General features: G+C 42.3%; 1 protein-coding gene across 6 annotated transcripts in view; it reads left to right on the plus strand.

The window, feature by feature from the left end:
* Positions 1-15055, plus strand: part of DMRT1 (doublesex and mab-3 related transcription factor 1) — a 127394-nt gene that overhangs the window by 66036 nt on the left and 46303 nt on the right. For 3 of the 6 annotated variants that reach the window (XM_006716732.2, XM_011517770.2, XM_011517773.4), the window contains exon 4: positions 9028-9175. In XM_006716732.2, the coding sequence (XP_006716795.1) occupies positions 9028-9175 (148 nt within the window). The remainder of the gene's footprint in view (positions 1-9027; positions 9176-15055) is intronic. The other 3 variants (NM_021951.3, XM_011517771.2, NM_001363767.1) reach the window with 1 other exon arrangement.

The raw sequence follows: 15055 nt of genomic DNA on the forward strand, positions 1-15055 counted from the left end.
TATATGCAATGAATTCTTATATACAGTTCTCTTTTATTCTGTTCTGTTCTATTCTATTGCATTCTGTTCAATTCCATACAGTTCTCTAAAATATATATGTGTGTGTGTGTGTGTGTGTGTGTGTGTTATATGTATATAACACACACTGACTGCATACTGAATTATTTGAGGGCCCTATAAAAGGTAACACTTCTGCCTTTTGGAAAACATGGTCTCAAGAAGTACACTGTTGTTCCGTCAGTACCACTGATGGCAGATGGTGAAAACAGTTGAACAACACAAGTTAAAAAAATAATTTGGCCTTTGTAAAATGTCAAAATACTCACATCTGAATTGCTTCTGGGCTAAAGATAAGCAAAATGGACCACTAATAAATACAAGTGTAATCCTGATATCCTATGGGGTTTCTATCCTTAATGGGTATTCAGGATTGTTGTGGGCTGGGCATGGTGGCTCATGCCTGTAATCCTAGCTCTTGGAGGGGGGCCCAAGGTGAGAGGATCACTTGAGGCCAGGAATTCAAGACCAGCCTGGGCAACATAGTGGGACCCTGTTTCTACAAAAAATATAAAAAATTTAGCTGGTCTTGGTGTTGTGCGCCTGTAGTTCTAGCTACTCAGGAGCCTGAGGTGAGAGGATCACTTGAGCCCACGAGATTGAGGCTGCAGTGAGCTGCGATCACACCACTGTACTCCAGGCTGGGCGACAGAGAGACCCTGTCTCTAAAAATGTTTTTTTAAAAAAGACTGATGTGAATTTCTCTTCCATGCCCTCTCCACAATTTATGGAAATTGCGGGAGGGCTTGCTTTATATCCTTGTGTTCAATTTTGGTTCTGTTTTTCCATGTGAGTTGTTTGTTTTTTTATGGTTCACCTTAGGGCTGTTGTTTATTTTTATTTTTGGAGCTACTGTAATACAAACTTTCCTTTGGTTCTTTTTTTTTGAAAACTCCACCCACACTTTTTCTTTTGTTTTTGCATGTGTAGTGGGAAATTTGGGATTTGCAACTTAAAACATCTTAAATGAATCACTTCTGAAATGGTTGGTTCTCTCTGCCCTGTTGTGTGAGCGTCCTCCTCTCCACTCCTCCCCCGTTTTCCCCTCCCACCTCTCCTGGGCGCATTTGGAGGGAGAGCTTTCGTTTGGAAAAAGGACTCTTGGGTTCTTCAGCATCTGAATGCCCAGCCCCAGCCCCACGCTTAGCACAGCAGCTTCACCCCTCCCCTGTCCACCCCTCACCCCACACACGTTGAAGGATCCTCTTGGCCTTTGCGGGAATCCCTTACAAAGGCTGAGTCCTCACAAGTGCCTGTCTCTGCCTGCCTCGGTTCTTTCCTCCCTCTAGGAGGGAAGTGGAGGGCATTCCATAGCAGGACCACCTAAGAGAAAGCAAGGTGAGCGCAGGAGAGGAAGGGAGCAAAGGACTCATCTTCAGAGCTCTGGACACAAAAGGAAAGGAAGTCGGGAGGGGCGGGTTTTCGCTGTGGGAATCTGCTTGGGTCACACACCTCAGCATTTGGCCTGGTGCTTTGGTAATCTCTGAAATGTGTGCATAATAGCAATCATTTTAGCCTATATATTAAAATTTTTTTCTCAGCTGTGAAATATGGAATGCTGAAAAATGAATAAGGTGTGTATTTCAGAAGGTGAACGGGGCTTTTTGGGTGAAGCCCTTTGCGTAGGTGAAGTCTGTAGGCTCAGACAGTTCACGGTGTGTGCTTAGGTGAGCTTGGGAACAGGCATCCCATTTAGATGGTTCGAAAAGAAGCATCTATTAAAACTAAAGCCATCATTTAATGAGGGTAAAAGTCAACCCCAGCCTTCACACCCAGCACCACCAGAAGACCCAGAATTCTACAGCCTGTGAAGAGTCCTACCTTTATAAAAAGGTTTCTGTTCAGAAAACCAAAGGTTTACCCCAAATACAGCTTTTGCCATTTAAAAGACTGTAAGCCACATATGAATACCAAGGGAGTTTTTTTGTTTCTGTTTTTTTTTGAAACAGGGTCTTAATCTGTCACCCAGGTTGGAGTCAGCAGGGCAAACATAGCTTACTGCAGCCTTGACCTGCTGGGCTTAAGCGATCCTCCCACATCAGCCTCCTGAGTAGCTGGGAACACAGGTGTGCACCACCATGCCTGCCTAATTTTTTAAATTTTTTGTAGAGATGGAGTCTCACCATGTTGCCCAGACTGTTCTCCAACCCCCGGGCTCAAATAATCCTTCCTCCTCAGCCTCCCACGTGCTGAGATTTACAGGTGTGAGCCATTGTGCCTGGCTGAGTCATTACACTATTTGTTTAAATATCAGTTTGCAATTAGGAATGTTATCCTATAGAATAACTCTTCTCATTAAGACTGTTCCCCTTTCTGCAAATGAGCATTACTTAGAGCCTCCAGTGAAGCTGAATGAAGCTCTAGAGAGATACGAACTTAACGCTGAAGATTTTTTTGTCTTGAAGCATGAAGAATCAAGATACCTAAATACTGATGATGAAAACTTTTAATAAATGTGAGCACAGGCATTTTTAATGAAAAAGGCATCATCTGATATAAGTTCAAAAACAAATGAAAAAACTTAGAAATTAAAAAAAAAAAAAGACTGTTCCCCTTTGTTACATCAACTCCAGTTTTATGCAGCCATGCGATGTTTAGTAAACAACTAGATGACAATTTGGTCTTCACAAATCCCTTTTAGTCATTCACCTGGATAGACTGTTCACTTTGATGCAAGACCAGGCACTCATCTAAACTGTTACTAGATAACCAGTGACTGGTATTTGGGATTTTTTTTTTTAAAAAAAGAAGTGAACTCAAACATTTTTATGGTTTTTTTTTCAGATATTATTGTTACTATAAAATAGGGTGGCTAACACGTATAAAAGGAAATTATGGCTCGGGTTTACTGTAATGCATATTCTTAACAATTTAATAGAACACAACTCCAAGGTCTTGGGTTGCCTGCAAAGTTAATACTAACACCATGAGCATCCTCCACCAGCCAGCTCTTATCCATGGGTCGTACTCTGGTTCAGAGACTTTGGATGGGTAATAACGTATAAAACATGCCTCTTGCTTGCCAGTGACCACTGCTAATAATAATAGTAGTCATCATTCACTGGAATCCTGGGTTTTTAGGGTTTACTTGGTTTATTTATTTGCTTAGCTTGAAGGAATAAAAAAAAACCTTGAGAGGAAACAAGGAGGCATTTCACAAAGGAGAAAAATATATATCCCTTTAGGAAAACTGAGTGGCTCCTCTGATTTCTTTGCCGCTCTTGTCCCTCAGCAGCACTTAGCTGTTTTCTTCTAGCTGGAGGTGAGGGACTGAGCACAGGGGTGGTGCTCAGTTAGTTTAAAGGGAGCTTCTCACCTTGGCGCTGTTCAGGCCTTGGGTTGGTTAATTCTGTGTCCTGTGGGAATTGTGGGACACTACACTGTAGTGACAGTCAGCAGCATCCCTGACCTTGACCACTAGATGCCAGCATCAACTCCCTGCCCCCTTGTCACAATCAAAAGCGTCTCCAGATGTTGCCAGATGCCCTGTGGAGGATCAGACTGCCCCTAGTTCAGAACTACTGGTTTAAAGTAAAGTGAGTTTCAAAGGCTTCGTTAATTTCCCATTTTGTTTAAGCCAAAAGTAGCAGGGTTGTGATTTTCTTTTTAAAGTTAGAAGAGAGCAGGAAGTAATTTAGTTTGAAATTGCATTCTGCCATGCCTTTTTCTGGGTTAATTGCATTTTTTTTTTTTTTTTTTTTTTTTTTTTTTTTTTTTTTTTTAGATGGAGTCGCACTCTGTCGCCCAGGCTGGAGTGCAGTGGTGCAATTTCAGCTCACTGCAACCTCTGCCTCCTGGGTTCAAGCGATTCTCCTGCCTCAGCCTCCCAAGTAGCTGGGATTATAGGCGCCTGCCACCACACCCAGCTAATTGTTTGTATTTAGTAGAGACGGAGATTCACCATGTTGGTCAGGCTGGTCTTGAACTCCTGACCTCAGGTGATCCACTCACCACAGCCTTCCAAAATGTTGGGACTGCAGGCGTGAGCCACCGCGCCCATCCATGAATTGCAGTTTTAACATCCTGTTTATATTGCTACACATGCACTTAGAAACACATAGAACTGTCCTTTTCTTCTTATGAGCAAGTTGTCACGTGGATGGGTTGTTTGTGGATTCTTTGAGGTGGATGTAGCTGAAGTGACTGATGACCTCAGTAAGTTCATGTACTAGTCTGTTCTCACACTGCTGTAAAGATACTACCCAAGACTGGGTAATTTATAAATAAAAAAAGAGGTCTAATTAACTCACAGGTCCGCATGGCTGGGGAGGCGTCAGGAAACTTGCAGTCATGTCAGAAGGCGAAGAAGAAGCAGGCACCTTCTCTTCTTCACAAGGCAGCAGGAGAGAGGAGAAAGAGAACAGGGGAAACTGCCAAACACTTTTAAAGCATCAGATCTCAAGAGAACTCCCTCCATATCATGAGAACAGATTGGGGCAACCGCCCCCATGATCCAATCACCACCGCCTACCACGTTCCTTCTTTGACACGTGGAGATTACGGTGTGAGATGAGATTTGAGTGAGGACACAGAGCCAAACCATATCAGTTCACATTCTAGTAACCTCAAATGGAGTCTGACCCTTTGTATCTTTTTCTTCTTTTACTGGAATTCTTTTATAGCTCAGTGATCTTGGGGATTCATTAAGGATAGTGAATGTTTGAATATAAATAACTAAATTCCTATTTCCTAATAGTTCTTTTTATTTCATGCTTTTGGAAAACATGGAAAAGGAATTAAGGGAATAAATAAGCACACGCATGGATTTGAAATTGTGTTTATTTTCCAGTAAGCGTTAGTTAAAAAAAAGAATTTTACTGTTCATCTTCATCTTTTTGTCAAATAATACATACATTGGGATTGGCAGCGTTAGCCAGTCTATTTGTCAGATTTAGCCTGTTTTAGTTAATATAGGGGATTGTTGGGATCTCGTACTTCCAAGGTATATGGACGATATGTTGGTAATTGTAGAGCACTGGTTCTCAATCTCGGTGTCATATTAGAATTAACTGGGATCTTTGAAAATATCCAGGGCCCAGGCCACATCCCAGAGCAGTTAAACCAGATTTTCTTGAGTGGAGTCCAGGCATCAGTACTGAGTTCCCTTCTCACCTTACTCCAGTGAGAGTGAAGTTTGAGAAGGAACCAGTGCCACTGTTTACAAATAAAGTTTTATTGGAACACAGCCATGCCCATTCATTTTACAAATTGCTAGAGACTGTATGGCTTGCCTAAAATATATATACTGTTTGACATTTACAATAAAAAGTTTGCTGACACCTGCTATAGACTCATGATCAACATTTTTCAAACATTTTGAAAGGAAGGTTTGTGTAAACTTTCATAGTAAAAAAAACATCCAGCATTTTGCAGAGCATTTAGGCCCAAATCCTATCTGTTTTCTTGTACCCTGGCAAAATTGAAAAGCATTTTCCTTGAAGAACTGGCTTGAAGATATTGTCAAACCTGAAGTAGATGTGACAAACTCAGCCCCCAGAGCAGGGAGGCTCCATTATTTATATTACGGCTTATGTCGGCACCTTGCTTCTAATTCAGTGTTCACTACTCAGACTGTGTAATTGACTTAAGGAAGTCTATGGAGACACAAATGGCTTTTCAATTCAAAGTGTGTTTGAGTTTTTACTGCTGCAGCAGTTGTAGATGGCAACAGACCCCTGAAAAAAATCTTTTAGTTCTGGGGAATTTTGTGTATAAAAATAAAAAAAGAATGAAAATTAAAAATTGCTATTTACATAGTTTCACTTTTCCAGTTCAGCTGGAAACTGGATGGTTGTAAGCAACTGGTAATTTTTTTTTTTTTTTAAGCTGGGGCAGTGGCTGACACTTGTAATCTCAGCACTTTGGGATGCCGAGGCGGGCGGATCACTTGAGGCCAGGAATTTGAGACCAGCCTAGGCAACATGGAGAAAACGTCTCTACTAAAAATACAAAAATTAGCCGGACGTGGTGGGGCATGTCTGTAGAGTAGGCTACTCAGGAGGCTGACGCAGGAGAATCGCTTGAAGCCAGGAAGCAGAGGTTGCAGTGAGCCGAGATTGTGCCATTGCACTCCAGCCTGGGCAACAGAGTGAGACTCGGTCTCAAACAATTTTTTTTAAAGGGTTTCCTTTGGTCTTGGGTTCTGAGAGGTACTAAGTATGAGAGGAAGGATCACGTATTCTAGTCCCTGGGCACCAGCAATATCAGCATCTCCAGCCCAGTCTTACCATCAGGACCTGCATTTTAACAGGACCCCCTGGCCATTCATATGCGCATTGAGAGCTGCTGGGAATCATCAAAAGATGCTGCAGTGCTCTAATTGATAACTGGGTGTGTGTAGTAAACAGCTACCATGATTGTCCCTTTTCTCTTAAATGGTTTAGTGGCTTCTTAATGGGCTCTTCTGCTGTGTGGTCTTATTTATTAGGGGTAGCCAGTTTTTCCTTTTTGGCTGTTTTCCGAGTATAGCTTCTTTAACCTTCTATTTAGTAAAGATTTAATGTGGCCAGGCGCGGTGGCTCACGCCTGTAATCCCAGCACTTTGGGAGGCCGAGGCGGGCAGATCACGAGGTCATGAGATCGAGACCATCCTGGCTAACACGGTAAAACCCTGTCTCTTCTAAAAATGCAAAAAATTAGCCAGGCATGGTGGCGGGCGCCTGTAGTCCCAGCTACTCGGGAGGCTGAGGCAGGAGAATGACGTGAACCTGGGAGGCGGAGCTTGCAATGAGCCAATATCATGCCACTGCAGTCCAGCCTGGGCGACAGAGTGGGACTCTGTCTCAAAAAAAAAAAAAAAAAAAAAAAGATTTAATGTAATGGTAGAAAGTGAAAACGGAGTGATTGGCCTAGAAGAGACACCATTTCATATACTTCAGAAAAACAAACTAGAAAGGATAAAGGGGACTTACCCAGGTAAACTTCACTTGAGAGGAAATAATCACCTGTAATGGTATCTTTGCTTCTCCAGAAGAAGTAATCCACTCATGAGAACATAGATTTGAGCTTGAGAGCAGTAGAGATCAAAAATAAATTCCTTGAGCTGCTCAAAGCATCAGGCAGAAATCAGGGACTTAGCTCTTTCTACCAAACAGCACCATAATACCCAAAGTACACTTAAGCCAGTGTTAGTTGGTGAATTGTCCAGAATGTAGATGTTCATAGAAAATCTTGAGGAAGCCCAGTGCCTAATTTTACACTACCAGGCTCTGTCAAGTTAGTGCTATTTTCTTTTTCAAGTACCATTTAAAATACTTGATTGAAAAACATGATTTTGAATTATTTTGGATTATTTTGAAATTACTCATATTTCTGGACAGAATTGGTTTATCTTGAACATTCCCTTAGATCGAATTTTGTTTAAAAGCGAGTACCATCTAAATTTAAGTTTTAAAAGACTGTCATAAATAACTGAAGTCCAGCTCTGTTGTTGCCGTGAAGATGTGATCATGAGTTGAATGCTCGGTGTCTCTAACAGGGTCTAGATGTTCATGGAAGTGGGTCTTACACAATCAGAGTCATCAGGGCCAGGAAAGTGGAAATGGAGGGGGGGCCCTTTCTAAGCCATCAAGTCATATCTTCTTAGCTTTGAATGAGAATCAGGAAGCCACAGGGAATGAACTGCTTCTTATATAAAAGCTATCTCATGGTCCTAAAGGCAGGGTCTGGTTGCCGGAAAAAAATGAATGACTGCTGTGCTCACATGCAGCTGCCACTGGAGGGGCGCTTGTGCCTCCTTACTGCCTTCCGAGTTTTGCTCTGCCCCATGTGTCCAGTTAGCAGAAGCCAAATCACCTCCAGAATTCAGATCTCAGACTCCTGTTCTTGCTGCAGGGAACAGACACCGACTAACAGGATCCAGCATGGCATTGTGCTAATGTCCACAGCTTCCCATTACACATGGTTTGCATGTTGTTTTACAGTATTTATTTATTTGTTTTTTTTAATATATATATATTTTTTAGACAGAGTCTCGCTCTGTCGCCCAGGCTGGAGTGCAGTGGCGCGATCTCGGCTCAGTACAAGCTCTGCCTCCCGGGTTCACGCCATTCTCCTGCCTCAGCCTCCCAAGTAGCTGGGACCACAGGTGCCCGCCACCACGTCTGGCTAATTTTCTTGTATTTTTAGGAGAGATGGGGTTTCATTGTGTTAGCCAGGATGATCTCGATTTCCTGACCTTGTGATCTGCCCATCTTGGCCTCCCAAAGTGCTGGGATTACAGACGTGAGCCACTGCGTCCAGCCTATAGTCATTTTAAATACTCTCCTTATATGAACACTGTAAGGTAACCAAGATAAAATTCCAGTTTTGCACATGAAGAAACATGGGAAGAGGTCTGATAACTTGCGCCCGTTCAAACAAATTTGTTAGTGTTACAGCAGATTGTGTTGTCCCCTCTCCACCACCCTGTTCTCTTTTGTACTGGTTAATCGAGCACCAAATGAACAGAAGGAATTTCAGGGGTGCTTTAGAGGGGACCTTAAGATAGAAAGGGCACCATCATAGTTCTAGGCCCAGTACATTGGAAGAGCATATTCATGGCTGAGGCCACTTCCAACTTAGATAGGCTATTCCCTTAATTTGCTTTTTTTTTTTGAGACAGGGTCTTTCTCTGTTGCCCAGGCTGGAGTGCAGTAGTGCAAGCAGCCACGGCTCACTACAGCCTCAAACTCCTGGGTTCAAGTGATCTTCCTACCTCAGCCTCCTGAGTAGCTGAGATCTCACTCGTGCACTATCACACCCAAACAATTTTTTGATTTTTATGTAGAAAAGAGGTTTCACTGTGTTGCCCTGGCTGGTCTTGAACTCCTGGGCTCAAGCGATCCTCCCGCCCTGGCCTCCCAAGGTGTCGGGAACATAGGCATGAGCCACTGTGCCCAGCCTGTTACCTTGTTTTAAAGAACTAGATAATTATTGTACTAGTTGTGACATGCAATGTTGATCTCAGTATATTTCTTCTTTTTTCTTAAGCAGATGAAGAACATGGAGAACCGCCATGCAATGAGCTCCCAGTACAGGATGCATTCTTACTACCCGCCTCCCTCTTACCTGGGCCAGAGCGTGCCCCAGTTCTTCACTTTTGAGGATGCTCCCTCTTACCCGGAAGCCAGGGCGAGCGGTAGGTGTCTGGTCACACAGACTGGATTTGGGGTTGAGAGAGGATGGCTATCCAGTATTGGGTCATTAGCTGTGTCTAATGGCTTAGCTGTTAGTAATTGTTGGAAATTTTATTGCTGTGTGAAGCTTGGATAAGTATCCTTTAAAGAATTTAGTTATAAAATGACTTTGCTATGCTTGATTCTTAATATCATGTTTTTTTTCCTTTCTGGATTCCTAGAGTGACAGGAGTAAGATGAGAGACTCTCCCTTGGAAGCTAAAAATGTATTTTATGGAGGATCAATATGAAATACAGGGGCACTTTAAATGTGGTTCAAGACCTGGTATTTTTTGTGAAGTGAGTTTCTGTGCATTGAAAACTCCTTTCCCAAAGACTTTCATTTTAAAATTGAAGGCGTATTCATCTTTTTGGCGAAAACAACATAATAAAACATTTTTGAATACAATAGATCTCAGAGTTTATGCAGTAGCAATGCAAATAACTCTGATATAATGGCTTTGAAATAAAAAATGACTGTTTAATGAATCAAAGCACTTTGAAATACATAGTAACTCGACTTCAATTTTAACATCCCCCAGCATTTTCACTGTGGTGAGAGGCAGGTCTTTACAGCTGCTGCGTTTCCAGATCCCGTGTTTAAGTTCTTTATAGTTAAGCATCCTCTTTTGATGTAGGAAAGTGAGAAACATACACAATAGGCAGTAAGTGGAAATCAGGGCAGTAGAGGGTGTCTTGGAAGAGAAACCAATCTAGAAGAATTTACTCTGTGCTAAATAAAAGGATATGTTCATTTTCTAAGTAACTTGACTCTTTAGAGAACTTAGAGAATGAGAATCAGAACCATGCTTTGATTTCCAAATTCAGAACCAGAAAGTCTAAAATAGCTGGGCAAGTTATGCTTTATTTACCATATTAACATAAAATAAAGGACTTCTATTAATATGAAATATATAGGTCACGGGAGCCTATGTAGTTTGAGCTGCAGAGAGGCCGAAGTACACATTGTTGATTGCAGTTTCACTTTTATTAAGAATCACTTTCCGTTGGGAGTGGACAAGCACAACTCTGTTTTATAAGTATTCATACTATATAATGTGTGCCCATAGGTCCTTCTTTCATACTGCTTTTGAGTCTATATATTTATTTGGCTTATAAGCTCCCTAAGGACAAACAACACATTTTCTATACTTTCTTACCTGCTGTGATGCCTTTTATTTATTTGTTGGTTGAGTGAATGAATGAATGAATCTGGTATTATTTTTAACTGAGTTTGGCCTGTAAGGGCGTGCAAGCATGAAAGGTCAGAATCCTAACTGGCCTGTCTGCACAATTTGGGGATGAAGCAGTTAAAGGAACATTTGTTAATACAGAAAATTAAGAATGAAACCCACTTTCAGGAAGAAATTGCCTGAGCTTCTTACACCAGGAATAATGGAATATTTTTTGAAGCACTGGCGTTCTTGAGACAAAGGTGTAAATTCAGAGCAAGGCAGTAAGACAAAAATATAAGAGGCAATTTATTAGAGCAGAGAGGAGCGAATTTGGAGAGGAGCGGTAGGCATTTGAATTTATGGCAGAAAAGGAAGCGACTCAGAAGGAAAGAGGTTACAGTCCAGGAAAGAAAAAGACCAGCTGTACTAGCGCTCACAGGGAAAGAAGAATAGGTGAATACCACCTACAATTCCTTATTACTTTTCTGGCCATGTGTTTATTTGAAAGAGTAGTGTGTGAGGAGGCCCCAGGCTTAACTTCCTGGTACCCTGCTAACCCACTAACAGTTAAGTAGGAGGCCCAAGCTTCAGAAACGAGAGCTGGGAAGTAAAATCTCAGCACTATCTACTTTGGAATTATCTTCGAGAAGGAGTGTACAAATACGTAGAAAATCAAAATCCCAGCTAATTTTTAACAGAAGGCTTAATGCCTTCCAAATGTGTGCTATTTTGGCTTTTTTTATATTGCATGAATTTTTACAAAGCAAGTGGGAAGGTAAAGGAAGCGTGTTTGGAGGTCAGTAAGGACACCTCAAAGGTCATCTCATGGGACACTGGATCCTCAGTTTTATCAGCATTGACACAGTGGGGTGTTCTTTGAGAGCATGTTAGCCCTTCTGGGAGGTGGGGCTGAGGCTAGAGACAGGAAATGATGGGTGGGGATGCGGACATCAGTATATTCATTTGTGAGATATCGGCAAAGGTTGGCTCATAACCAGTTACATGTGGCAGATCCGTCAAGTCTAAGTTCCTTTGGTTGATTGTGTTAATATGTAAGTTATTATTTATTCTAAATAGGGATTTCTAAAGAACTTGAAAGACAGTGTTTTCAGTAGGTTTAATGTCTTCTTTAAAGTCTTATTTAAGTATAAATTTGCCCATTAAATCTATGTTCTTCAGTTTCTTTAAAAATAAATTTAAGCTTAGCTTCTCTGTCATCTAAAAAAATGAACCCAAGTTCAGTGTCTTCCTCTGGGTTTGCTATAAAGCTGGCAACATGAAATAAATGGAATGTTGGGCGGGGGGAGGGGGGCATTTTACAGGGCAAGTTTTCCTTTTGTCGTGTTACTGCTTTTTAATGCTTTTCTTTGTAAAAGGATAGGAGCCATTCCTTCTTTCCTTATCCTGAAAAACGTTAAGAGGGTAGGTCAGAGAGATGGTGGAGTCAGATCTTGCAGGTCTTTGTAAGCTATTGGAAACAATTAGGCTTTTATTTCAAGTGAGATGGGGAGCCATAGCAGGGTTCAAGCACAGGGTGATTTGTCTGTCTTGTGCTTTTAAATGATCACCCTGATGACTGTTTTCTTATAGACTATAGGGATGCAAGGGTGGAAGCTGGGAGACCAGTTAGAAGGTGATGGCAGTAATTCTGGCAAAAGAAGATGGTGGCTGAGTGAGGGTGGGAGCGTGGCAGTGATGACGGGTGGTCGAATTCTGGATATATTTTAAAGATAGAACCAACAAGATTTGCTGTTGGTCTTTGGATGGGACAGGAAGAGAGGAGTGAAGGATGACTCCTTAATTTTTGACCTGACCAATTGGTATTTTGATTTTCTACGTATTTGTACACTCCTCGAAGATAATTCCAAAGTAGATTGGGGTTTCCAATTATTGAGGTAAAGAAGACTATGGGAAAAATAAGTTTGTGTGCATTACGAGTTTAACTTTGCATGTGTTAAGTTTGAGATGTCCATGAACCACCCAAGTGGATTGTTGATTAGGAGTTGGATGTGTGGAGTCTGAGGGGGAGGGGAAATATCTCTACTGGAGATGAAGATTTGGGGGTTCAGTGCATAGGTTTATTTGAAGTCAATGTGATGAGATCATTTGGAGAGATGAATGTAGGTGGAGAATATAAAGGACCAGGGACTGAGCCTGCGTGTCTCCAGTGTTTATGGCCCTGTAGATGAGGAGGACTAGCAAGGAAAAGAGGGAGGAGGAGCAGCCTGTGAGGCAGGAGGGAAACTGTGTGTGAGCGGTGCCTTAGAAGCCAAATTAAAGGATTTTAATGAGAGCCAAAGAGTGCTGATATGTCAAATGAGATGAGGACTGGAATCGACCATCAGCTGTTGCAAGGTGGAAATGATCAGTGACCTTCTGAGTGGTCACTTTGGTGGGAGGTGAGAACCAAAGCCTGCCTGCGTATTCAGGAGTGCATGGGAGAGAAGAATTGGTGCAGTGAATACAGGCAGCTCTTCAGGAGTTTTGCTGTAAGAGGAATAGTGGGATGGGACGTCAACCCGTGGGGAAGTGAGTTCAAGGAAGGGCCTTGGCTCCTTCTTTAAAGAAGAGAGATTTTATAATACGCTTGTATGCTGATGAGGGCGATCCCAATAGAGGGAGAATTTGTGGATACAGGGAGTGTGTGGAGGGCACAATTGCTGTAGGGGTGACCCTGAGCAAGCCAGGTGGGGTGGGAACCAAGGGTCTGCAGAGTGGGGGCCATGGTCTGATGTGGGTCTGGGAGTGCTTTGTTACTTGTCTAAGAGGGGAGATAAGAAATAGAGAGGAAACAAACTTTATAGCAATTTGGTAGAGCAGTTTTGTCTGTTGAGGTTGATAAAATATTGGGGCTTGTATTTTTTGTCTTTCATTTTTCTAGTAGCCTATTTTTTATTGAGGTAGAATCCACCTAACATTAACTATTAACCATAATTAAAGTGTACAATTCAGTGGCATTTGGTACATTCACAGAGTTGGGCAACCGTCACCTCTATCTGATTGCAAGGCACTTTCATCACCCCAAAAGGAAACCCCCCATCCTCCCTCCTCCAGCCCCCTGGTAATCACTAATCTGCTTTCTGTCTCTATAGATTTGCCAGTTCTGGAATGGAATCTCATAATATGTAGCCTTTTGTGTCTTGCTTCGCTTAGCTTAAATGTTTTCATGATTCAGCTACACTGTCGTATAGATCAGTATTTCATTCGTTTTTGTGGCTCAATATCATTCCATAGTATGGATGGATATACCACATTTTGTTTAGCCGTTCATCAGTTGAGGGATATTGGGTTGTTTCCACCTTTTGGGTAATGTGAATAGTGCTGCTTTGAACATTTGTGTACAAGTCTTTGTTTGAATGTCTGATTTCACTTCTTCTGGGTGTATGCCTAGAAGTGGAATTGCTGGGTCCTATGGTAAGTCTATATGTAATTTTTGAGGAACATGTTACTGTTTTTCACAGCAGCTGCATCGTTTTATATTCTTACCATAGTATATGAGGGTTCCAGTTTCTCCACATCCTTGCCAACACTTGTTTTCCATTTAAAAAAACAGTTTCCAGCCTGAGCAACATAGTGAGACCCCATCTCTACAAAAAAATAAAAAATAAAAAATTAGCTGGGTTTGGTGCCACCCACCTGTAGTTCTGACTACTTGGGAGGGTGAGGCAGGAAGACCACTAGAGCCCAGGCTGCAGTGAGCTATGATCACACCATTGCACTCCAGCCTGGGTGACAGAGCGAAACCCTGAGACACACACTGCATCCAGCACTGCATCACGACACAGCCCTCCAGCTCTGTAGCACAGGCAGGCATGCAGGGGTGCAATCATAGCTCACTGTAGCATCAACTTTCCAGGCTCAGGTAATCCTCCCACCTCAGCCTCCCGGGTAGCTAGGACTACAGGTGAGCACCACAACGCCCAGCTAATTTTTTTTTTTCTGTAGAAACAGAGTTTTGCCATATTGCTCAGGCTGTCTTGAACTCCTGGGCTCAAGCGATCCTCCCACCTCGGCCTCCCAAAGTGCTGGGATTATAGGTGTGAGCCATCTTACCTGGCCAAGAAAAAAGTCTGGGGGGCTCTAGTAATTCATTTTTATTGTATTTTGCCAAAGTACCAGACCACGGTGGGTTGGAAACTGGAAAAAAAAAAGTTTAAAGCAGGCCTCTCCTGCTCCACAGACTGTTTGAAGATCACTTGTCTAGTGCCCAGATGGAGGGTTGGCTTATATAAGAATGTGGCCACTTCGTAGTAACAGATGCAAGCTGTTCGGGAAGTGGTAGTGGGAACAGCTTTGAAATGATGCTTCCCCAGCTGGTGATGAAGAGACAGATCTCCACAGCAGCCCCTGTGTTTTAACAGATGCACCTCTGTCTAGAGGTGGGTGGCACTGCACATTTGAGAATAGACATCGTTCTCTGCATGTTGAATTCTTGAGTATAAGTTGCTGGAGTACGTGGTTGGTCGACACCTGCAAAAAGGTTTAGGTTTCAGTTGGTGAAGGTAATACACTTAGATATTTTTGTCTGTTTATTTTGTGATCTCGGTTTAAAAGTTAGAAATGGTGCCTTATTTCTTTTGGTTCCGTCTCAGAGTGGCAGCCTGCCGTGCAACTTCAGCCTTCCTTCACGTCCAAGCTGCACTCTTTTCAGGAGAAAGAAACATTTAA

This window comes from Homo sapiens, chromosome 9 (genome assembly GCF_000001405.40).
Source record: "Homo sapiens chromosome 9, GRCh38.p14 Primary Assembly".
Lineage (NCBI taxonomy): Eukaryota > Metazoa > Chordata > Mammalia > Primates > Hominidae > Homo > Homo sapiens.